Below are 26,565 nucleotides of genomic sequence, written 5' to 3'. Positions count from 1 at the left end.
AAAATGTAGCACATATACACCATGGAATACTATACAGCCATAAAAAATGATGTGTTCATGTCCTTTGTAGGGACATGGATGAAACTGGAAATCATCATTCTCAGTAAACTATCACAAGAACAAAAAACCAAACACTGCATGTTCTCACTCATAGGTGGGAATTGAACAATGAGAACACATAGACACAGGAAGAGGAACATCACAGTCTAGGGACTGTTGTCGGGTTGGGGGAGGGGGGAGGGATAGCTTTAGGAGATATGCCTAATGCTAAATGATGAGTTAATGGGTGCAGCACACCAGCATGACACATGTATACATATGTAACTAACCTGCACATTGTGCACATGTACCCTAAAACTTAAAGTATAATAACAATAAAATAAAAGAAAAGAAAAAACAAAAAAAATAAGAAAAAAATAAAAGACAGAAGCAGGTATTTGAATGATGCATCTACAAGCCAAGAAACACCAAGGATTCCCAGCAGCCACCAGAAGGTATGAGAGAGGCATAGAATAGATTACGTCTCACAGCCTCCAGAATGAACCAACTCTGCTGACACTTTGATTTTGGACTTCTGGGTTCTACTACAAGAGAATAAATTGCTGTTGTCAAAGCCACCTAGTTCATTGTACAGCAGTGCTACCAAATTAATACAAACTATTATACATTGGTATAAAAAAAAAGAATCCTGTAGAACAAAGTTCTACAATGATAGGGTCCATGTTTGTCCTGTTCACTGTATCTCCTATAACTCACATATAGAAAATATCCAAAACATTTTTTTCCAGTAAGAGAATGAAAAACTACTAAGTGAGTTTCTTAGAACTAGCGCAGTTCTAGGCTATATGGAATGGTATTTCTAGAAAGTTCTTTGTTATATGGCCCATATCACCAGGGTAAGAGACTAGATAAACCTTTAGGGCTTATGATAGTTAGCAGTAGACAGACACACATTACCAATTGCACAAGAATTATAAGTTTGGGGGGATGCTATAACAATCAAAAGGATACTGAATAAAGCCTGAGGCCAACAAGGAAGAGCTTCCTGATACCTAGGAGGCATGAACTTCAAGCTACCAAAAAAACAACAAGAGGTCACTATATTCCTTAGTAGTCACAAACTCAGAACAAATGCCTTTACAGTTTAATATTCCTTTTTACATATCATACTTTATTACTGGGAATGTGAGACTAGCTCATTAAAACCAAAATATGTCAAAATGAGGCTGAGGCAAACCAAGGGATCCTTTTAAAATACATCTCCGACAGTGCTCATTAAAGATGGCCGACTGGACTTCTGTATTTATCTTTTCTTCCTCCCAAGTCTCCATTCAATCAGTAGGACAGGAATAAAAAAATGCATTTGTCCATAACAACAGATAGAAGAAGAGAGAGACTATTAATGGAAAAGCAATTTCAATGTTTCTGGAAGGCAGAAAGATAGAGGTGATGTTGGCTACAGAGACTGTGTGGGAGGAAGCTGCAGCCTAGAATCCAGGCTATATGTGCAGCCACCAAAGAAGCCCACGACTTTTCCCAGGGGACACTGGCAAGGCTTCAGACTCAAGGCCCCATGGAAGGAGTAAAACATGTGGGACTAGTGGAAGGTCTGAGAACAGAGTAGCTGGCTTCCCCACTCTATTCATCCCGACAGCCAGAAAATAGGCATTTATCTCAGAGGGGAGACATGAGGGCTCTTCCCTAAAGATACTGAACAAAAACTGTCTGGGAGAACCACAGCAGCCCATGTGAATATTGTCATACTAAAGGAAAGTACACAGTCACCTGGAATTTGGGGGCTATAAGACATAATGACCAGCTTCTTGCCCATTACCCCTAAAGCAATAATAATTATTAACATATAGCACTCCGGTTCACTGAATCCCAGGTTAGACATTATATGACCTGGTTCTGAAATACAGAATGACCAATTAAAGCTTACCAGGACCTTTAGGAAAGATTTCTAAATGAAGGCAAAAGTAGACAATAAACACATTTTAAGAGTCACTCAGAAAGAAATTAAGATTATTCAGGGAATAGAATGTCAACTTGGCATCTTCAGAGAAATTTGAGAAGATATGTATTCACAAAGCATGAACAGTATGCTATGAAGAAGAAACCATAAGAGAACATGAAGAGATCATAAAAATTAAAATATGATTCAAAAATTCCAAGTCATTAGCAGCTTTTTAAGATAAGGTCAAAAACTTTTCCAAATAGCTTAAATTTTCCAAATAGCCAGGAACAGTTCTAAGTACTTTAGTGACACAGCAAGCCTATTATATAAATAGTATGAGGTTCTTCCTTTATAGCTGAGGTACAGAGAAATTAAGCAACTTTCCCAAGAACACTTAGCTAAGTAGCCAAAATTAAAAGCCAGTCTAGCTCTAGAGTCCATGAGCTTAACTGCTTTGCAATACTATTTCTAGTAGTATTATAATAGCTAACTTGCATTAAGTGATTACTCTGTGATAGGCACTGTTATAAATAAAGTAACTCATTTAGTCCTCTGAACAATGCAATGAGTAGACATCACCATTAGTCCATTCTATAGATAAGGAAATGTAAGCAAGAAAGGGTAAGAAGCCACCATGGGTCACATATATGATAAGTGGGGAGACAGGATTTAGCCCATGAAGTCTTGTTTCAGAATCTATTATGTTACCTAAAATGCAAGGTGGTAAAAATATGAAAGGAAAGATAAGATATGGTATGTAACCATGCCATTTAATATCTGTCTTAGGGTAGTTTCAGAAAGAGCAGATAAAATAGAGGTGAAGAAATCATCAAATAAATTTTATAAGAAAAGGTCCCAAGTTAAAGGAAGACAAAAATTTCATATTGAGAAAGCTTACTAGAATACCATGGAAGCTGTAATAGTCCATTTCCACACACTATAAAGTTACTACCCGAGACTGGATAATTTATAAACAAAAAAGGTTTAATTTGCTCACAGTTCTGCACAGCTAGGGAGGCCTCAGGAAACTTACAATCATGGCAGAAGGGGAAGCAGGCATCTTCCTCACAGGGAAACAAGGGAGAGAAGAGCAAAGGAAGAACTTTCAAATACTTATAAAACCATCAGATCTTGTGAGAACTCACTCACTGTCACAAGAAGAGCATGGGGAAACCACTCCCATGATCCAGTCACTTTTGTCTCTCAATAGCTGGGAGTTACAGATCCCTCCCTCAACACATAGGGATTACAATTGGAGATGAAATTCGGGTGCAGACACAGAGTCAAACCATATCCAAAGCTGATTTTAAAAAGACACCTCAACTTACCATTGTGAAATTTTAAAGCAATAAAAGAAAGAGAATGTGTTAAAATTTCTATTGATGGTAGAGGAATGATGATGGAACAAGGTAGGAAAAAAACACATAAAATGAGACTTGACAGAATAAATATCTCATGTACTGTAGTGGGTGCTAGAAGACAGGGAAGCCAGACTTAAGATTCTGAGAGGAGTGGTGTTCAATCTAGAATTCTGTTCTCAGCCAAATTATAAAAGTGAATTTTGAAGGTAAAGAGGACACAATTTAAATGTGTAAGAAATGAGAAACTTCATCTCTTCTGGTGAGTAGCTACTTGAGGCTCTGTTCCAACCTGGCAAAACCTGACAGTAAATTAAAAACAAAAAGACTTGGGATCCAGGAAATAAGGCTTCAACCTAAGAAAACAATTAGAAAAAAAAAAAGCCCACATGCAGCAGGTGCCAAGATCAATTAGTCTAGCTTGAAGCAAGGGCTAGAGAGCTCCAAATGAGAAGAAGAAAGGAAGAGAGGGAGAGAATAAAAATTAAAAATGGCAATTTTGGGGAAACAAAAAGCTATACAAAAGAAAGGATATATAGTCATAATTGGTTTTCCTATGGTGAATGATACATTGGTGTAGTAATGTAAATGTTTTGCATTACATTTAACTGCTATACAAAACACAAATGATGATGCTTTCAAAGGAGAATGTAGAAGTTAAAAAATGAAGTACATTTGATAAAGTGTGAAGCCAAGCCAAGCCTTCATTCTGCCAGTCTGCATGGCTGCAGGGTTAATACCACATGGAAACCCCCAAGGCTTACAGCCTGTGTTCTCCAAAATGGCAGCTTGAGCTGCACCTGAGTCCCTTTGACCTTGGTGGGAACAGGAGCTGCTAGCCAGAATGTGGAAAGCAGAGTCCCAAGGCTGTGTAGGGCAGTGGGGCCCTGGGCCTGGCCCATAAACAATTCTTCCTTCCTAGACCTCTGGGACTGTAATATAAGGGGATGCTATGAAGGTCTCTGAAATGCCCTTGAGGTCTTTTTCTCATGGTCTTGGATATTCGTACTTGGCTCCCTTTTAGTTATGCCAATATCACAAGTAAGGGGTTGCATCACAGCCTCCTTGAATTTATGTCCTGAAAAAGCTTTTTCTTTCTTTGCCACATGACTAGGCTGCAAATTTTCCAAACTTTTATGTTCTGCTTCATGTTTACATATAAATTCCAAATTTAAATCATTTATTTGCTCCTGCATCTGAGCATAGACTGTGAGAAGCAGCCAGGTTATATCTTTAACACTTTTCAGCTTAGAAATTTCTTCCACCAGACACCATAAATCATCACTCTAAAGTTCAAATTTTCACAGACCCCCAGGGCATGAAGACAATGCAACAAAATTCTTTGCTAAGGCGTGACATGCATGACTTTTGCTCCAGTTCCCAATAAGTTCCTAATTTCCATCTGAGACTTCATCAGCCTGGACTTCATTGTTCATATCACCATCAGCATTTTGGTCACAACCATTTAACCAGTTTCTAAGAAGTTTCAAACTTTCCCTCACCTTCCTGTCTTCTCCTAAGCCATCCAAACTCTTCCAACTTCTATCCATTACCCAGTTCCAAAGTGATGCCCATATTTTTAGGTATTTTTATAGCAATATCTCACTCCTTGATAGCAACTTTCTGCATTAGGGCATTCTTTCATTTCTATATAGAAATACCTGAGGCTGGGTAATTTATAAGAAAAGAGGTTTAATTGGCTCACTGTTCTGCAACCTGTAGAGTAAACATAGCACTGACATCTGCTTCTGGGGAGGTCTCAGAAAGTTTACAATCATGGTGGAAGGTGAAGGGGGAGCAGGAATCTCAAATGGCAAAACTGAGAGCAAGAGAGAGAGGAGATACAGGTGCCATACACTTAAGCAACCAGGTTTCATGAGAACTCACTCACTATCATGAGGAGAGCACCAAGCCATGAGAGGTCTGCCTCTATGAACCAAACACCTCCTACCAGGCCTAATATGGTTTGGCTTTGTCCACACCCAAATTTCATCTTGAATTGTAATCCCCATAATCCCCACATGTCATGGGAGGGACCTGGTGGGAGGTAATTGAATCACAGAGGTGGTTTCCTCATGCTATTCTCATGATGAGTGAGTTCTCACAAGATCTGATGGTTTTATAAGTAGCTGGCATTTCCCCTGCTGGCACTCATTCTCTCTCCTGCTGCCCTGAGAAGAGGTGCCTTCCATCATGATTGTAAGTTTTCTGAGGCCTCCTCAGCCATGTGGAACTGTGAGTCGATTAAAACTCTTTTCTTTATAAATCACCCAGTCTCTGGTATTTCCTTACAGCAATGTGAGAATGGACTAATTCAAGGCCCTACCTCCAACTTTGAGGAGTACATTTCAACATGAGATTTCAGCAGGGACAAATATCCAAACCATATCAGACATGTTTTCTTTGTACCAAAGATCAAAAACCTATCATCCATGCCCATATGAGTTGAGTCCACCTGAAGCAGCGTCTTTTCCCAATTGACACAAATATTCAATATGTATTCATAGGTGCCTTTAGGTGAAAGTAATGTGAAGGGAAAATAAATCTCGTAGCCCCACAATCACTAAGCTAAAGGGAAAAGTCAAGCTGGGAACTGCTTAAGGCAAACCTGCCTCCCATTCTATTCAAAGTCACCCCTCTGCTCACTGAGATAAATGTATATGTGACTGCCTCCTTTGGAAAGGCTAATCAGAAACTCAAAAGAATGCAACCATATGTCTCTTATCTACCTATGACCTGGAAGGCCCCCTCCCCACTTCAAATTGTCCTTCTTTTGCTTCAAGTTGTCCTGCCTTTTCTGGACTGAACCAATATTCATCTTACGTATGTTGATTGATGTCTCATGTATCCCTAAAACGTATAAAACCAAACTGCTCTGACCATTTAGGGCACATGTCGTCAGGACGTCCTGAGGCTGTGTCATGGGTGCACATCCTCAACCTTGACAAAATAAACTTTGTAAATTAACCAAGACCTGTCTAAGATTTTTGAGGTTCACAGTAATGATAGGGGCACTTAACTTAAAAATGTTAAGAGGTACTATTTATAGGTGAGATAATAAAAGGTTAAAGCATGCGATGTAATGTTACAATGGCAATTATTATTAGGTTTGTGCAAAAGTAATTGTGGTTTTTGTCATTTAAAAGTAATGGCAAAAACTGCAATTACTTTCACACCAACCTAATATTAAATAACATCTGTATATGTAGGAGGTAAAGGAGAGATCATGGATGGTAGTCAAAGTAAGCTAGCACCTCATTGATCACATGAAGACCCAATTAATTATGATATCCCCATATTTAGAAATGTGACAGTATCTATAAAAAGATCTAAAAACTGTTAAAAGTGGTTGCAAGTAGGGAGAGAAAATAGGGCTAGCAAAAGACGTGGGGCCAATTATTTCTTTTTACCAAAAGCTCTTCTATACAACTTGATTTTTAAAAAATGACTTTGGATGTATTATTTTGATAAAGTAGGTATTTTAAAACAGTACAAAAAGTATTTTAAATCACTATATTTTCTCTGAGCAATTTTTTTCTCTTTATTGTTATATTTTAAGTCTAGAAATCTGAAGATTAGAGGATATAGACATAGAGCAGGATCATTTAGTCAACAAAGATTATGTCAGAAAAAAATATGTGAAAGCGAAGAACGTTTAGTGGCAGATTTGTGTAGGAAAGAATAATAGTAAGAGAAAAACACAACAAACAATCTAGACAAAAAAAGGCAGGAAATTCAATTTTTTTTCATGTGATTATTCATGCATTCAAAAGACATTTATTGTGTACTTACTCTATGACAGGTGCTGTGATGATAAAAAAGTTGACCAAGAAATGATTCCAGACCTTTAGAAACCTGTAATTTTATAGGACTGGTAAGAATAGACCCCAGTATGGACAAGACAAGCCATGAAGTAAATATCACAAAACAGGTACAAACATAGTACTGGAAGAGTTCAAAGGAAGGGAATAACTCTTGATGTGACAAATTATTAATACAGCTGTTACTAAAAGTCAGGGAGACATTATAGGACAAGATAACCATGTAATGGCCAAACATCTCTATGAAAAAGAATGTTTTCCTCAATTTTTTAACCAGGGCTGGCTGCAGAATATTTGAAGGCATCTTACAGGCAAATATAAAAATGATTAATACTTTTGAAAATATATGCCAAAATAGTGATAGATGGTAAAAGTTCTCATGCCAGGAATATCTGTTGGACTTTTAAACACTCTTCCCAAACCACAGTCAATATAATAGAAACAATCCTTCTCTAAAGCATCAACTATTAATAAATGTGCCTGAACCAAAAAGTAAATCCAGCTTCTCACCAGCCTCAATGAAAGCATACTTCTGGGGCATCTTCTCTTTTTAAGGCCATGAAGCTTCCCCATGACACTGAGATATGATGTTAAGCAAAATTCAAGGCACCTTTAATGGGGTCAATAGAAGAGTCTTCTAATACAGTAATAATAAATATGGCATCTACTCTAACAACAAGACCAATGGCTAGAATTGTGATGTTGCCTTTCTTTTAACTTCCCAAGTAAAAGCTTCCATTGGTCATTTAATAAGGGTACTTTTATATCCCATTCATTTTTCCTTCTATGTGGATGGAAATTCCTTAGTTCTTCCCTTCCACCCTCTCACTCACTCTTCCAGGGATATTGGTGAGCAGGGAAAGAGAAACTGGACATAAATGTCTCAGGCCCTTTCCTTCTTTTTCCTCTTTAAGATCCAGTTGCTCACAGAAAATCACACATTTTACTTAGAATTTCTAAGCCCAATGTTTACAGGGGCAAGTTCTTACAAGGAAGGTTGGTGGATATCCAGTTGTGTTTGTGACTGGGTGTGTAAATCTTTCAATTTGTGGGTAGAGTATTAGGAAGCCCACTTAACTAACAGGACCCAAAACACATTTCTAATTAACCAATGTCAGTAAGAAATGATGGACTTTACTCTCTGTCTTCCTTATTCTTCTGATCTTCATAATCAATTCATAATTTGGATGAGGAAAGGGATTGGTATTTCTTGACTCCCCTCAAAACCCAACAATTTCTTACCAAATATACACAGGATGAAGCAATAAGCCTGGAACCATCAGAATATTATGTTGCACTAATGATACAATCAGAGCTACAAGCCTAGTTAATTATACATTAAGAGGTCACTCCATTTTTCCTATTCTTCCCCTGCCTTTAATGACACAGACACACAATCTGCTTTTTATTATTCCTGCATACATATATACATAATATACACATATATGTGTACGTACGTTTACATGTAAACTATGTATATATTACATACGATGAAACACTTCAAATAAATAACAAAAGAAGAGAAAATGGTATAGTGAACCCTATATACTTGTCACTCAGCTTCCACAATTAAAATAACTTTAACAAATGACCAATCTTGTTTAAACCACCTTTTCCCTCCAACTTTTCCCATTCATACCACTCACTCCCTATCTCTTCTCTCTGTGACCTCCAGATTCATTGACAGAAAATAGAAAAGTCGGAAAGATGAGAAGGATGAGTCTGGTGGTTTGGATACAAGTAGGCACTAGCTGAACCAGACACAATCCCTGCCCTCAGGCAGCTTACGCCATACAGTGAAAGAGTGTGGAGAGATTTGAAAGAAATTATATGGCACCCAGGGTGTACTTTTATCACCAACAATATTTTGTCCTGCATAATCCAAGTTTCTAGGTAGATTTTTGAGATTTTCCTAGCAGTTGGAATTGTCTTGAAGTTGGTAGAAAACTGTTATAGCCAGCATTTACAGACCTGTGGGAAATATGGTATTACTAACACTGTTTTATATAGATGAGAAAACAGGCTGACAAGGTAAAATGATAGGTTCGAAATTACATAGTTAAGAAAGATCAGGCTAGCACTTAAATCCAGGTCTGTTTGACTTCAAAAGTCATGTTCTTAACCATTCAACTTATTTTCTCCCATTGTACAAAAATAAGTTTGTTTGATTTCCTTAGTGGATGGCCTGAACTTGAAATACAAGTAAAAGCAATGTGGATTACAATAGGCAGTTAGGAGGAGACACATGCTGGCCCCTCCTAATGGAATCCTGGAGTAAGTGTGGATGAGAGAGAAATCCAATGGTGGTAGTAAAGAGAGAAATACTGAGTTTCCGTTTATTTTGAGAAGTGAAAGAAATGTAAAGAAACAAATCAGGATAATAGCACAGTATCACCAACTTTTTTCAAGAGTTTTTTTTACATTATGTAAATTTAATGATGAGTTTTTATATTAAATATTTAAATGATGTGTTCTAGCCACATTTTTGTTATAATGACAACCTCAATCCCTTCTCCAATGAATCTAGCAAGGATTAGGCCCAGCCTAATGCATTGGTGAAATAGTTAATAGTCTATACATTTTAACCAGGGAAAGACACATCCTTTTCCCTGGTCCCAACCCTTTCCTTCTTCCTTTCCTTATTAACTCTCTACCAAGTTGTCAAAGATGTCCAAATTCCACAACTGGTTGTTTAAATCCTTTTCAAATGCAGACTGTCTTTCCTGGTGGCAAACAAACACATTTGATACAGAGGGAGTTAGCATTTAGGCCCAGGAGTTAGAGATGGAAAAGAGATGGGAATATAAAGTTAGAGAGGAAGGAAAAAGATATTGATGCTGAAAGGGAAGATAAGAAATAGAAAATATAAAACTGCTTGCTTCTTTTCATAATTTTGCATAAGATATTTGGATATGTCTGTAAAATAATACACTTTCAATCTTTTTGAGACCCTCAAAGCCACCAAGCGTAATTATTTAGGAAGGAAATCAGAAATGTTAATCAGAATAAAGTTAGTTGGGAGAAGCAGTATCACCAACACTCGGTATGGAGTCCTTTTAGTTGTATCCATTCTAGTGAGCATGTAGGGTAACTTGTTTTAATTTGTATTTCCCTAGAATCTAATAATGTTGTGAAATTTTTCATGTGCTTATTTGTCATCCACATATCTTCTCTGGTGAAGTGTTTCTTCACATCTTTTGGCATTGTTTTAATTGTAATTTTTGTCTTCTTATTCAGTTGTAAGAGTTTATTTTATGTTCTGGGCACCACCCTTTATCAGATGAGTATATTTTATTTATTTTCTCCAACTCAGTAGCTTGCCTTCAAAAATTCAGCTTTCCTCACTGTATCAAAAATTACAAGTTGAGTTCCACAGAACCTCCAAGTTCTGCAGCGCTGCTCTGAGTTGCTGAGGTGGATAAGAGGCAGAGCATTTCTGCTACCTTCCATCTTTCCTCTCTCTCCGTCTCTCTCTCTCTGTATGTTGATCAATCTATCCATTTACGTATTTAGTTTCATTTTATTTATTTTTGAGGCAAGGTCTCACTCTGTGACCCTGGCTGGAGTTCCGTGGTGCAACCATGGCTTACTGCAACCTCTAACTCTTGGGCTCATGCAATCCTGCTACCTCATCTTCCTGAGTAGCTGGGACTACAAGTGTGCACCCACATACCTTGCTATTTTTTTTTTCTTATTTTTTGTAGAGACAAGGTCTTACTGTGTTACCAGGGCTTACATATTTTTAATATTGGGGTACTGCATAAGATTTTGTTTGGGCAAAATATTTGAAATTACCATGACCACATAGCAGGTTGTGGTAATTGTTTACTATGTAACAATAATCTGACTTTCCAAACTCGTATTAAAGCCCTGATGTGAACCTAATGGAAACTTACCCTAATGGGGATATTTGAGGACATTAGTAGACTTCGGCATTCTTAAGTTTGATGGTGTCCACATATTATATGACACATATTAAAATTATCCATTTGCCACATTAAATATATTTTAATTTTGTATAAACGACTTATTTATGTTAGTATGGACTCATGGATATTTATTTTATACTTTAGATTATAATCTAATACTATTTTATTTTGTTGTTCAACTTGTTTGTTTTTGCTGCTGGGAGTTCTTTCAGGTTAGCTCCTATGCCCTAAATATATTTTTTTGCATTAAAAAAACTGAAGTGAATTTTATGACTTTGTTTTTGAAATGATTTGGCTATAGGTAATGCATTTAATTAACATTTGGCTATGATTTCTCAGTAATCATCATGTATACTCTAAAATTTTTGCAAAATGAGGAAAAGCTAAGCTACAAATTACAAATCACATTCAAATGTAATGCAATTTTTGTGATTATTAGTAATAACAAGTAAATTAATATATATTTAGTTAGTTCTTATTAATATGGATTTTGCAGTTTTATTTGGTGCATTTTAGAGTCAATGTTTGTTTCCTTTGTTGTTTGTCTAAGGTCCTGGTTCCTTGCAAAGCTCATAGACCCTAAGCTCTCTACCTAAATGAAAGTTCACAGGAGGAAATAATCCACCCCTTGTGTGGTAAGCATGCAGAATAAATGTCAGCAGGGAATCAAGAACTTCACAGGTGTCCATATGAAATGCTACTTCTGCTTCTGCTTCGCTAGGGTCTTCTGTTCTTTTTCCCCCACAAAAATGACAAGGCAGAACAAAAGAAAGTAACAGCTGTAATTAAGACCAGATTCAGGAAAGAGAAAGGGGAATAAATTATAATGAATTAAGCCCATATAATTACCACAGGAAATAGAGAAATAAATGGGAGGGGTGATAAAATTAGAAATTAGAAATGATTTATTCTGCCAATATTTTCCTAGAAGTTTTAGCTAAGCATGATTATAAGAGCTAAGAGATCTCACATCCACAGTAAATGGGAATAGTAGCTATTAACCTTCTTGGTAGGTACATGGCTGGTGGATTGGAAACAGGGAGAAACTACATCAGGTTAATACCTAATGGGAGCTAAATTTGGTATCACGAGCCTCTCACATCATACATTTCAACAGCCTAATGAAACCTCTTGCTTCATGCTCCCAACCATTTAAAAACAAACAAACAGACCAAGGGAAAAGAGATTTTTTAAAAATACAGATTTCTGTTTCAGCCCAGAAGATTTGAATTCAGTCTGGGGAGTAGCTCAGAAATTTGTAGTTTTAAGTCTCCCAGGGGCTTTTAGTGAGCAGGCAAATATTTAGAGAATTCATGATAGGCTGGTTTATCTGTCTGTGATGAGACATTTTGTACAGGATTTGAATCACAGTGGGAAATTGTGAGTCTCTGGAATTTAATATAATGTGTTATTATTTGGCAGGGCACATGCTAAGAATAAAAGGGTAAAGGAATCATGACCTTAAATTCTAATCTAACAGCTTATGCATTATAGGCAGGACTAGCTATATAATGTGCAGAGCTCAGTGCAAAATGAAAATGTGAAACCTCTTGTTTAAGAATGATTATTAGCTGGGCATGGTGGCATATGCCTATAGTCCCAGCTACTCAGAGAGGCTGAGGCAAGAGGATCACTTGAGCCTAGGAGTTCGAAACTGCAATGGGCTATGAACATGCCACCTCACTCCAGCCAGCCTGGTGAAAGAGTGAGACCCTCATCTCTAAAAAAATAAAAAATAAAATGATTGAAACTTCCAGGATAACAACAACAGAGCCTTAAACCAAGTGTGAGGCTCTTCTGGTTATAAGGCCTGGAGCAAGTGCACAGAGGTCACCCATGAGTGCCCCAGTGGTGGGATTAAGATGCTGGGAAAAAATGCATTCTGTAAATATAGTCATCAGAATCAAAAATTGAATTGCTTAGAATTAAGGTTAGACTTAATCATTTAGCAGGGACAGTGTAAAATGCTCAACATTATCATTAGCCTAAGCATTTTTTTCTCTAACATATAATATCTATCAGGGTTTTTGAACATTAAAATGTCCTTTGTGTGAATGTAGAAGAATGTTTTAGCTGTTTATAAAACTTTATATGTTTAATTAGAAAAATCAGTGTGAAATCATGCATTAAAAAGAAATATACGTGTATACATATATGTATACACACATATAGACACATACACACATATTTTATCTGTTTCACTAATGAAAATGAATCATATGAAGAAGAAACACTTTTGCCAACCACCAACACTCTTGTACAATCCTACTGCCCAGTTTTTTTCATTCTGTTACCATTCTCAACTAAGAGTCAAGGGATATTATTGGAAGGTAATGGATTTCCTGTCTTAGAGGAGAGAGCTATCTGGATATGTCCAATTATTATCAAAAAGCAGGACAGTGCTAAAGGGCAAAGTGCCTGCATAAAGGGATTTCTCTGGTCAAGTTGTGATCATTTGAACTTTAAATAATAATAATAGTTGCTATCGTGTTAATTTGAACAAGGTTTGCTGTGAAATTCAATGAGTTCTTAATGCCATTCCAAAAAGAATAACCTGTATAACCTTTATAAAAAGATGCTCAGAGTATAAAAACAGTGAATATAGTAGAGTATAAGTTTCACATTTATTTTAACAAGTACAGAAAAGTTACTGCTATGTGTAAAGGTACTCAGCTTCCTATGTTTTCTTACTTAACAATTCTTTATGTCTGTTTCTAAGGAATAGACTGGATTTTGCTTCCATCAGTGCATAATGAAAAGAATAAGGAGAAAAGCCTGGGTAAAGCCAAGAAGCTCTGGAAAAATATTTGAATCTGTACAGAACTAGGAAGGAATGAGCAGTACATGTGAACCAACTCAAAAATTAGGTGGAAAGGGAACAAAACAGGTAGTCAGAATCAGTGGTCACAAAAAACCCCAGATAAAGAGTGATATTAACATTGTTTCAGGACAATAAATAAACCAATATTCTTAATAAGGGGAGCTGATTACCTAGAGTTAATCCCTTATCTCCTAGAAGTGAAGCCCCCAAACAGTACCATTGAAGATAATAAAATTCTAGCAAGGAATACATCAGGACAGACAGGTCTATGTATCACAGTGACAAGATAGTGGGTTGTATAATGCTAGCCAAATGAGTGTTTTAAAGTGTATTATGTCTGGGGAAGACATCAGGAGACACAATAATGGTAATAATAATATCTATACCAGAAATGATGACTTAAAAAGAGGTATTGAAATTACAAACAAAATATGTCCACAGAGGAACCACACTTTGGGAAAAGTTAGCCAACTTCTTTGTCCCATTTCATGATAATGAAAATCCTTGGCTGGTCTGAAAAGGTATTTTTCTTTTGGCTTTGGTAAAATTATTCTACCCCAAGAAGTTATCACAATAATATGACCACGGCTCTAGGTATCTAACGAAATTGGTATAGCTATACCCCTAGGAATATATTAACATCAAGGGCGAAACAATAAAGGAATTAATTAAGCCCATAGTATTGAAGCTGGAGGATAGGTTTAAGAGTTAGTCGAATAATAAATGTGCTGAGAGTGTGTGTGTGTGTGTGTGTGTGTAAATTTTGTCTTTTTAGTTTGAAGTACTGAAAATAATAAGTCACAGTAAATTTGAATTTCTAGTTTAAGTTGAAAAGAAGTGTAATTATTTGTGTTATTTATATTTTCATATTTACGAAATTTTTAAAATTTTTGTTTATTAAATATATGTTTTATAAATTGACAGTTAAACCAACTATAAGTAGTCTTGGGTGTCCTTCTCCATAAGGTGTTCCCTTCAGTCATTCACTGGGGCCTAATTGAGGGTGGAAGTTTGGAGGAGTGTGAGGATTGAAAAACTACCTGTTGGGTACTATGCATATTATTTGGATGACAAAATAATCTGTAGACCAAACACCCATGATGTGTAATTTACCTATCTAATAGAGCTACACGTGTACCCTTGAACTTAAATACAAGTTTTTATTTGTTTGTTTGTTTGTTTTAAGAATGAGACAGATCTGTGTGTGCTGGCTGGTATGGCAAGACTCCTAAAATAAATTTTATTTTATTTATCTATTTTTATCTTCAACTTTTAAGTTCAGGGATACATGTGCAGGGTGTGCAGGTTTGTTACATAGGTAAACGTGTGCAACGGTGGTCTGCTGCATACATCATCCCATCACATAAGTATCAAGCCCAACATTCATTAGCTATTTTTCCTGATACTCTCTCTTCTCCCATGCCACCCCCGACAGACCCAGTGTGTGCTGTTCCCCATCATGTGTCCATGTGTTCTCATCATTCAGTTCCCACTTACAGGTGAGAACATGCAGTGTGGGGTTTTCTGTTCCTTTGTTAATTTGCTGAAGATAACAGCTTCCAGTTCCACCCATGTTCCTGCAAAAAACATGATCTCATTCCTTTTTATGGCTGCACAGTATCCCATGGTGTATATGTACCATATTTTCTTTATCCAGTCTGTCATTTATGGGCTTTTGGGTTGATTCCATGTCTGCTATTGTGAATAGTGTTGAAATGAACATATGCATGCATGTATCTTTATACAAGAATGATTTATATTCCTTTGGGTATATACCCAGTAATGGGATTGCTGGGTCAAATGGTATTTCCGCCTCTAGATCTTTGAGTAATCACCACACTGTCTTCCACAATAGTTGAACTAATTTACACTCCCACCAAGAATGTAAAAGTGGTCCTTTTTCTCTGCAACCTCACCAGCATCTGTTGTTTTTTGACGTTTTAATAATCGCCATTCTGACTGGCATGAAATGGTATCTCATTGTGCTTTTGATTTGCATTTATCTAATCATCAGTGATGTTGAGCTTTGTTTTCATGTTTGTTGGTGTTCTTTTGAGGAGTATCTGTTCATGTCCTTTGCCCACTTTTTAATGTTTTTTTTTTTTCCTGTAAATTTGTTTAAGTTCCTTATAGACTCTGGATATTAGACCTTTGTCAGATTGATAGATTGCAAAAATTTTCTCCCATTCTGTATGTTGTCTATTCACTCTGATGATAGTTTCTTTTGCTGTGCAGAAGCTCTTTAGTTTATGTAGATGCCATTCATCAACTTTTGCTTTTGTTGCAATTGATTTTGGTGTTTTTGTCAAGAAATCTTTTCCCATGCCTATGTTCTGAATGGTATTGTCTAGATTTTCTTCTAGGGTTTATATGGTTTGGGGTTTTACATTTCAGTCTTTAATTCATCTTGAGCTAATTTTTGTATCAAGTGTAAGGAAGGGTTTCGGTTTCAATTTTCTGCATATGGCTAGCCAGTTCTCACAGCACCATTTATTAAATAGGGAATCCTTACCCCATCCCTTGTTTTTGTCAAGTTTGTCAAAGAGCAGATGGTTGTAGGTGTGCAGTCTTGTTTCTGAGTTTTCTATTCTTTTTCATGTGTCTATATATCTGTTTTGGTACCAGTACAATGCTGTTTTGCTTACTGTAGCCTTGTAGTATAGTTTGAAGTCAGGTAACATGATGCCTCCAGCTTTGTTCTTTTTGCTTAGGCTTGTCTTGGCCATTTGGGCTCTTTTTTGGTCCCATACGAATTTTAAAATAGTTTCTTCTAATTCTGGAAGAATGTCAATGGTAGTTTAATGGAAATATCATTGAATCTATAAATTACTTTGGGCAGTGTGGTCATTTTCACAATATTAATTTTTCTATCCATGAGCATAAAATACTTTTCCATTTGTTTGTGTCCTCTCCGATTTCTTTGAGCAGTGGTTTATAGTTCTCCTTGAAGAGGTCCTTCACTTCTCTTGTTAGCTGTATTCCTAAGTAATTGATTCTTTTTGTAGCAATTGTGAATGGGAGTTCATTCATGATTTGGCTCTCTGCTTGCCTGTTGTTGGTGTATAGGAATGCTAGAAATTTTTGCACATTGATTTTGCATGCTGAGACTTTGCTGAAGTTGCTCATCAGCTTAAGAAGTTTTTGGATTGAGACAATGGGGTTTTCTAGATATAGGATTCTGTCATCTGCAAAGATAATTTGACTTCCTCTCTTTCTACTGGAATACCTTTTATTTCTTTCTCTTGCCTGATTGCCCTGGCCAGAACTTCCAATACTATGTTGAATAGGAGTGGTGAAAGAGGGCATCCTTTTCTTGTGCTGGTTTTCAAGGGGAATGCTTCCAACTTTTGCCCATTCAGTAGGATAATGACTGTGGGTTTGTCATACATGGCTGTTATTATTTTGAAGTCTGTTCCTTCAATATTTAGTTTACTGAGAGTTTTTAACATGAAGGGATGTTCAATTTTATTGAAGGCTTTTTCTGCATCTATTAAGATAATCATGTGGTTTTTGTCTTTAGTTCTATTTATGTGATGAATCACATTTGTTGATTTGTGTTTGTTGAACCAACCTTGCATCCCAGGAATAAAGCCAGCTTCATCATGGAGGATAAGGTTTTTGATGTGCTGCTGGATTCGGTTTACCAGTATTTTATTGAGGATTTTTGCATTGATGTTCATCATGGATATTGGCCTGAAGTTTTTTTTGTTGTTGTTGTATCTCTGCCAAGTTTTGGTATCAGGATGATGCTGGCCTCATTAAATGAGTTAGGGAAGAGTCCCTCCTTTTCACCTTTTTGAAATAGTTTCAGTAGTAATGGTGCCAGCTCTTCTTTGTACTTCTGGTAGAATTCAGCTGTAAATCCATCCGGTCCTAGGCTTTTTTTTTTTATCAGTAGGCTATTTATTACCGCCTCAATTTCAGAACTCATTTATATAGTTTATTTAAGGACTCAATTTGGTTTATTTAAGGACTCAATTTCTTTCTTTTTTTTTTTGATCAGTAGGCTATTTATTACCGCCTCAATTTCAGAACTCATTTATATAGTTTATTAAGGACTCAATTTGGTTTATTTAAGGACTCAATTTCTTTCTAGACTGAACTAGAGTGAACATGTCCAGGAATTACCCATTTCTTCTAGATTTTTTAGTTTATGTGCATAGAGGTATTTATAGTATTCTCTAATGGTTGTTTGTATTTCTGTTGGGACAGTGGTGATATCCCCCTTACCATTTCTGATCATGTCTATTTGATTCTTCTTTCTTTTCTTCTTTATTAGTCTAGCTAGCAGTCTATTTTATTAATTTTTTCAAAAAATCAGATCCTGGATTCATTGATTTTTGAAGGGATTTTTGTGTCTCTATCTCCTTCAGTTCAACTCTGATCTTGGTTATTTCTTGTCTTCTGATAGCTTTGGGGTTTGTTTGCTCTTGGTTCTCTAGTTCTCTTAGACATGGTGTTAGGTTGTTATCTTGAGATCTTTCTAAGTTTTTGACATGGGCATTTAGTGCTATAAATTTCTCTCTTAACACCACTTTCCCTGCATCCCAGAGATTCTGGTGAATTGTCTCTTTGTTCTCATTAGTTTCAAAGAACCTTTTGATTTCTTAATTAATTTTATTGGTTGTTTAATTTCCATGTAGTTGTATGGTTTTGGGTGAATTTCTTAATCTTGAGTTCCAATTTGATTGCACTATGGTCTGAGAGACTGTTATAATTTCAGTTGCTTTGCATTTGCTGAGGAGTGTTTTACTTTTAATTATGTGATCAATTTTTGAGTAAGTGCCATGTGATGCCAAGAAGAATGTATATTCTGTTGCTTTGGGGTGAAGAGTTCTGTAGACATCTATCAGTTCCACTTGATCTAGAGCTGAGTTTAGGTCCTAAATTACTTTGTTAATCTTCTGTCCTTATGATCTGTCTAATATTGTCAGTGGGGTGTTAAAGTCTCTCACTATTATTGTGTTGCAGTCTAAGTCTCTGTGCAGGTCTCTAAGAACTTGTTTTATGAATCTGGGTGCATATATATTTATGATAGTTAGCGCTTGTTGTTGAATTGAAACTTTTTCAATTATGTAATGCCCTTCTTTTTCTTTTTTGATCTTCATTGGTTTAAAGTCTGTTTTGTCAGAAACTAGTTTTGCAACCACTGCTTTTTCTTGTTTGCCATTTGCTTGGTAAATTTTTCTCCACCCATTTATTTGGAGCCTATGTGTGTCTTTACAAGTGAGATGTGTCTCTTGAACACAGCATACCAATGGGTCTTGGCTCCTTATCCAGCCTGCCATTCTGTGTCATTTTATTGGGGCATTTAGACCATTGACTTTTAAGATTAGTATTGTTATGTGTGAATTTGATCCTGTCATCATGATGCTAGCTGGTTATTTTGCAGACTTGTTTATGTGGTTGCTTTAGAGTGTCACTGATCTGTATACATAAGTGTGTTTTTGTAGTGGCTGATAATGATTTGATTTTTCCTTCCTATATTTGGTGCTTCCTTCAGGAGCTCTTGCAAGTCAGGTTTGGTGATGACTTCCCTCAGCACTCACTTGTGTGAAAAGGATCTTATTTCTTCTTTGGTTTGAAGCTTAGTTTGGCTGGACATGAAATTATTGGTTGGAAATCCTTTTCTTTAAGAATGTTGAATATTGGTCCCCAATCTCTTCTGGCTTGTATGGTTTCTGCTGAGAGGTCCACTGTTAGTCAGGTGGGTTTCCCTTTGTGGGTGACCTGGCCTTTTTCTGTGGCTTCCCTTAACATTTTTTCTTTCATTTTGACCTTTGAGAATCTAATGATTATGTGTCTTGGGGTTGGTCTTCTCATGGAGTATCTTACTAGGGTTCTCTGGATTTCCTAAATTTGAATGTTGGTTTTTCTTGCTAGTTTGGGGAAGTTTTCCTGGATGATATCCTAAAGTATGTTTTCCAACTTGGTTCTGTTCTCCCCATCTCTTTCAGGTACCCCAATCAGACCAATATACAGATTTGGTCTTTTTTCATAATCCCACATTTCTCAGAGGTTTTGTTCATTGATTTTTATTCTTTTTTCTCTATTCTTGTCTGCCTGTCTTATTTCAGAAAGACAGTCTTTAAGCTCTGAGATTCTTTCCTCTGCTAGATCTATTCTGCTATTGATACTTGTGATTGCATTGTAAAGTTCTTGTGTTGTGCTTTGAGCTCCATCAGGTCAGTTATGTTCTTCTCTAAAGTAGCTATTATGGTTTTCAGCTCCTGTATTGTTTTATCATGATTCTTAGCTTCTTTCCCTTGGGTTACAACATGCTCCTTTAGCTCAGCAAAATTCCTTATTACCACCCACTGAAGCCTACTTTTGTCAATTCAGCCATCTCAGCCTCAGCCCAGTTCTGTGCCCTTGCTGGGGAGGTGTTGTGGTCATTTGGTGGAGAAAAGGCACTCTGGTTGTTTGAGTTTTCAGTGTTTTTGTTTTGATTTCTTCTCATCATCGTGGGCTTATCCACTTTTAATCTTTGATGTTGCTGACTTTTGAATGGGGTTTTTGTGAGGTCTTTGTTGTTGTTGTTGTTTTCTTTTTTTGTTTGTTTTTCTTTTAACAGTAAGGTCACTGACTGTTAGCAACCATAGGGCTGCCGTGGTTTGCTGGAGGTTCCACTTCAGACCCTAGTTGCCTTGGGTTTTCTGATACCTGGAGCTATCACCAGTGAAGCCTGAGAAACAGCAAAGATCATAGCCACCTGTTTCCTCTGGAAGCTCCATCCCAGGGGTGTAACTGACCTGTTGTTGGCTGGAACTCTCCTGTAGATGTCTGGAAACTCCTGTTTGGGAGGTCTCACCCAATCGGGAGGAACGGAAGAGGGACCCTCTTACAGAAGCAGTCTGGCTGCTTTCAGTAGAGCAGGTGTGCTGCACTGGGGGGACCCTTCCTCATCGAGACCACCTGGACTCTCCAGAGTCAGCAAGTTGGAACAGTTGAGTTGACTGAACTGCAGAGATGGTGGCTGCCTCTCCCACTGGGAGCTCAGTTCCAGGAGAGATCACAGTTCTGTCCATATAAGCCTGACTTGTAACTGAAGGCCCCACCACAGGGAGGCCCCTCCCAAAGGGGAGGAATGGATTGGTGTCCTGCTTACAGAAGCAGGTGGAGCATAATCTGGCAAAGCAGGTGTGCTGCATTGTGGGGGACTCCTCCTCATCTGGACTACCTGGATTCTCCAGAGCCAGGAGGCTGTAATGCTGAGTCCACTGAACCACAGAAATGGTGGCCACCCCCCTCCCCGGGAACTCCCTCCCATTTCAGGCAGACTCAGCCTTTTGCCATTATCTGATTGGAAGTCCAAGCCGGTGGGTCTTAACTTGAGGTGCTGTGGAAGTGGGCCACAGAACAATGCTGCTTGGCTCCCTGGATTCAGCCACCTTCCTAGGGGAAGGTACAGATGAATCTGCCACCTTGCTGGGAATCCGAGGCCAGAGTATGTAAAACTCCTGGGTCTCTGTGTGTGCCTGAGTAGATGCTCTGCCAAAACTCCACACAGCTCTGTGTATCGGACCCAAGACCCTGGTGGTGTGGGCTCAGGAGGAGATCTCCTCATCCATTGGTTTCAAAGATCTGTGGGAGAAGTGTGGTTTCCCAGGCAAGGTCACACAATCATTTACCACTACCCTTGGCTGAGAGGGCTTCCTTTGGCTCTGTGCTGCTTCCAGGTAAACTGTTGCCCTACACTGCTTTTCTTTATTCTCCTTGGATTCAGTTGATTGCCTAGTCAGTCCCAATGCGAGAACCTGGATATTTCAGTTGAAGGTGATAAATTTACTCACCGCTTTCATTCCTCTCCATGATTGCTGCAGACCATAGCTGCTTCCGATTGGCCATCTTGTAAATAAATCTTCTAAATAAATTTTAAATAATTAAAATGTGCAAAATTTTGGGAAAATAAAATTTAAAAAATTGATCATTGCTCCCTAAAGAAATAATGTTTATGCCACATCACAATGTAACATCTTAGTGCTCTAGAGATTTTTTTTCATTAATTATCCACATGAGGCAGAAAATGAAATATCATAGTCCATTAAATTGTGTGACAGTTCACAAGTGCATGTAATAATGTAAACTCTTCATATTTTTATTAAAAGAGTAACAATCTATGAGCTTCATCTTCTACTAATGTGATTTGCCCCTAATGTGTGAGTTATGTTCTTTCTGGTGTCAAGAGCTGAAAGTGGGAATATGGAACAGGGCTAAAAGAAAAACTTCAGTATAAATTCTATTGTACCTTTTGAATTTTGAACCATATAAGTATATTATTGGGTGAACACGCCCCCAATATTTCAATGTAGGTTCTTTCTATTTTCCATAAGTGTCAGCCAGTCTGAGAAATAAAGAGAAAGAGCACAAAGAGAGGAATTTTACAGCTGGGCCACCGGGGGTGACATCACATATTGGTAGGACTGTGATGCCCACTTGAGCTACAAAACCAGCAGGTTTTTATTAAAGATTTCAAAAGGGGAGGGGGTGTAATTACAGGGAGTAGGTCACAAAGATCACATGCTTTAAAGGGCAAAATCAGAAACTCCTAAGGGTCTATGTTCAGTGGTGCATGTATTGTCTTGATAAACATCTTAAGAGAAAACAGGGTTTGAGAGCAGAGAATCGGTCTGACCAAAAATTTACCAGGCTGGAGTTTCCCAATCCTACTAAGCCTGAGGGTACTGCAGGAGACCAGAGTGTATTTCAGTCCTTATTTCAACTGCATAAGACAGACATTCCCAGAGCGGCTGTTTATAGACCTCCCTCTGGGAATGCAATTCTTTTCCCAGAGTATTAATATCAATATTCCTTCCTAGGAAAATAATTTAGCAATATCTTCCCTACTTGCATGTCCATTTATAGGCTCTCTGCAAGAAGAAAAATATGGCTCTTTTTCCCGACTCCACAGGCAGTCAGACCTTATGGCTGTCTTCCCTTGTTCCCTAAAATCGCTGTTATTCCGTTCTTTTTAAAGGTGCACTGATTTCATATTGTTCAAACACACATATTTTACAATCAATTTGTACATTTAACGCAATTATCACAGGGTCCTGAGGTGACATACATTCTCAGTTTATGAAGATAACAGGATTAAGAGATTAAAGTAAGACAGGTGTAAGAAATTATAAAAGTATTATTTCAGAAGTGATAAATGTCCACGAAATCTTCACAATTTATGTTCCTCTGCTGTGGCTCCAACCGGCCCCTCTGTTCGGGGTCCCTGGCTTCCCGCAATGATATATAACAATTAAAATTTAAAATTTAATCTCTTAAAATGTCACTTTTTAGTCAATTGATGTATAATGATTCTTGTCATGTTACATAAGTGTTAGTTATTATTATGAAGTGAATGAAGTAGTCTGACCAATGGGGTACTGGCCTTGAAGAAAGTGACAGAATAGCCTAAACAGATACCTGGGGCAGAACATTCCAGGAAGAGGAAATAATTAGTTAAAAGGTCTGAAAGACACTATTCTTCAATGTGTGAGGTCACTTTTAGAAATGAGATTATGGTGAGTTCCTTAAAAATGTTGTATCAGTTTGTTTACACACTGTTGATAAAGACATACCCCAAACTGGGAACAAAAAGAGGTTTAATTGGACTTAAACAGTTCCACATGGCTGGGGAAGCCTCAGAATCATGGCGAGAGGTGAAAGGCGCTTCTTACGTGGTGGTAGCAAGAGAAAAATGTGGAAGAAATAAAAGCAGAAACCCCTGATAAACCCATCAGATCTCGTGAGACTTATTCACAATCATGAGAATAGCATGAGAAATACCAGCCCCCATGATTCAATTACCTACCCCTGGGTCTCTCCCACAACATGTGGGAATTCTGAGAGATACAATTCAAGTTGAGATTTGGGCAGGGACACAGCCAAACCATATCAAATGTCCATTAAAAGTCATTGTCATGCAGATTGCCACCCAAGTATCCAATAGGATGATTTTATAACATTGCAAAGTAATGTAAAGTAAGTACTTTTGCTTTATTCTCTAAGTCCTTTCATCACTTGATTTCTCAAACTCAACTTCCAGTCAAGTGGCACCAATTGTCATTTTTAAAATGCCTGAAAGAATACTGTATAGCTGTGTACCATTAGTGTGCTGTCACTTTTTTAAAAATTATATCACACCAAGGAAATAGAAACATAATACAAAAGCACAATTTTTTTACTGTTTTCACCTTAATTTTAAAAATTAATCTTTTAAATAGCAACAAATGTAATTATTTTAAAAGCAGAACTCTTTCACAAATTAAATTGAAAATCCAAACTTCTTTTTTTGGCTACATAATCTATATTGCTCTCCTACTGAGTTTTTCAGTTGTTATTATGCTCTAATCATTAGCCATTTAATCTTCTTTTGAAACAAATGCATCTTATTTTTCTGTCTCAATATGTACAATCAAGCATACTTGAACAACCTATATAGCTGCTTATTAGGTTTAACTTTGTCACATTTTATTATCAGAGATAGTTGGGTTGGAAAAATGCAACTTATTTTCTATGAAAATTTTTAATGGTGGAAGCTAAGCAGATATGATGACCTAGAAAAATGAAAAAGAGAACATAAATTTATAAAATAAGCAAACTGGTGTTTTACTTGTGTTGGTAAACAGATTGGGAATGGAGGAGACCATTATTTTTCTAATAATTTTTACTAGCCTTCTCTACTTGTTTTTAAAGGTTTACTCTTTAACAGCATCTCTCCTATTTATTTAAACTTTTCCTTACTTATTTCCAGTACATACTTAGAAGGATTTCTATTTCTCACAAGTAGACATGACTATGCAGGTAGATAATGATGAAAATAAAAACCAGTGTGTGTGTGTCCTCCGTCTTGCTCTTTGTTGATGGATACCTGGAGGGAGGTGAGAAGGGAGGCAAGGGAAGTGGATTCTTAAGCCAGGACATGTGGCTGCTACATTGTGTCTATTATCTCTTGGCTCTACAATCATTTTTCTATGTCTTCTCTACCACTGGAGATGGGAGCCTACAAACTGTGTTTCTCCAACTCCTTTGACAGTGGGCTTTTTGTTAGATTAGAAGGTGGGATGAAGCAAGAAACCATTAGTTCTGCTTTGTTGGAATTCCCTGTGGTGATGGCAGCAATAGTGGTGGCTGGTGCCTGTCACTTCTTGGGTTCCTGCTCATGCAGCTTGCTTTTATGAGCTTGTCTCAGGATCATGGTAACTGTGGACTCTGATCATGTCCACTTTGCTTGAGCTCTCCTTGCTGCTGTATAGAAGAGAATAGATTTTTTTCAGTTCCTGATCTTTTGAATAAACTCGCCTTCTCCTTTTAGTTCCATCAATTCTCCAACACCTTAGTAACCAATTCCTTTATCAAATTCCCTGTATTTAAAATGCCTATATTCACTTTCATGTACATCTTCTACAAAAAGACTAAGAAAAAAGGTGCATTAACATTTATTTTGCCAGCTTCCCACATCTTCTTCTTGAATCTCTTTCCCACTTTTAGTGTTCTCCAAACCTCAAAACTCCCTCTGATCTCCAGCTAACCAGAATTTATTATCATACTCCTTCTTTGCTCATGATGCCTTGATGGGAGTCCATAGTTCCGATGCTCATATTATCTTTCATATCAAAAGATGTATATCTTAGGCTGAGGCAGGAGGATCTCTTGAACCCAGGAGGCGGAGGCTGCAGTGAGCCAAGATGGTGCCACTGCACTCCAGTCTGGGCAACAGAGCGAGACTGCGTCAAAATAAAAAAAAAAAGATGTGTATCTTTTACTTAATTTTTCCAGAAAGTTCCAAGGTAATAAAGTTTTGTGTTGTATCCCAAACTCAGCTCAACATGAATTTCTTTCTGTAGACATGTTTTACTCTTCAGACAGCAATAGATTTCCTCATCTTTGCTCATGAAGCTATGAGTTTGCACTTCTACTAACAATATCATTTATTACATTGTACTAAAATCGTTGGTTTATTTATATGATATTTGCAGTCATCTATGAGTTATTTGAGATTATCTTTGTGTGACTATGGCCTAGAATGGTTCCTGGCATATGCACACTTGTATGCATGTTGTACTAGAATGCTACTGGGCTCCAAGAGTTTACAGGCTTAACAGTGCAAATCAGATGATGGGTGGCAATATTAGTATATGATATAAGGTTGAGTAGACTGTAAACCCTCAAGAACAGAGACTTGCCCTTCACCTGTCTGTATTCTTAGCTTAATACTGTGCTGAGGAATTGAAAGGGTGAATGGTGTGAATTAGGCAGACATAATGACTAAAGTCAGGGATTAAAAAAAAAAATCCCTGGCAAGAATTTCAAAGCAGTATGAGGACATTTGGCTAAATCCTTTAATAGTATATTTTTACCCCGAATTATCTAATCTTGTATAGTATTCTCGCCTTGAACTAAGACCAGACTCCCAGAAACCCTGCACTAAGCTACCATTTTTCTTAGAAAAAAAGCAGTTGTTTCTCAAATGGTTGATACTGCTTGTCCAAATCCTTGTAACTTACCTGAAACATTAACTCTTCAAAGTAATAGGTTGTGAATAATACTTAAAAAGCACATCGTATGAGGATATGTACATTTAAATAAAGAAATACTGGAGACTCCTGGCAGTGGAGAAAAACTCTGTAATGGCATGAGTGTCAGACTCTGTGATAGGCAGTAGGGATCAGTAAGTGGGACTTTT

The 26,565-nt window shown here is 37.3% G+C and overlaps 1 non-coding gene across 1 annotated transcript, besides 2 other annotated features; it reads left to right on the top strand.

Annotated features, from left to right (window-relative positions):
• Positions 5,098-5,706: an enhancer, noted in NCBI's record as "OCT4-NANOG hESC enhancer chr5:57826656-57827264 (GRCh37/hg19 assembly coordinates)". NCBI's record gives its function as "activates a minimal SCP1, AML or CMV promoter by ChIP-STARR-seq in naive H9 embryonic stem cells {active_cell/tissue: H9 hESC(naive)}" and the evidence as "EXISTENCE:reporter gene assay evidence [ECO:0000049][PMID:30033119]".
• Positions 5,728-6,229: an enhancer, noted in NCBI's record as "NANOG hESC enhancer chr5:57826133-57826634 (GRCh37/hg19 assembly coordinates)". NCBI's record gives its function as "activates a minimal SCP1, AML or CMV promoter by ChIP-STARR-seq in naive H9 embryonic stem cells {active_cell/tissue: H9 hESC(naive)}" and the evidence as "EXISTENCE:reporter gene assay evidence [ECO:0000049][PMID:30033119]".
• Positions 6,426-6,492, top strand: MIR548AE2 (microRNA 548ae-2). The gene has a single exon (NR_039639.1). It is a non-coding gene; the product is annotated as a microRNA 548ae-2 (primary transcript).
• The last annotated feature ends 20,073 nt before the right edge of the window (positions 6,493-26,565 follow it).

This window comes from Homo sapiens, chromosome 5 (assembly GCF_000001405.40).
Source record: "Homo sapiens chromosome 5, GRCh38.p14 Primary Assembly".
In the NCBI taxonomy this organism is placed as follows: Eukaryota; Metazoa; Chordata; class Mammalia; order Primates; family Hominidae; genus Homo; species Homo sapiens.
Note: the sequence above shows the minus strand (reverse complement) of the source record. Positions and strands in the feature narration are given on the sequence as shown.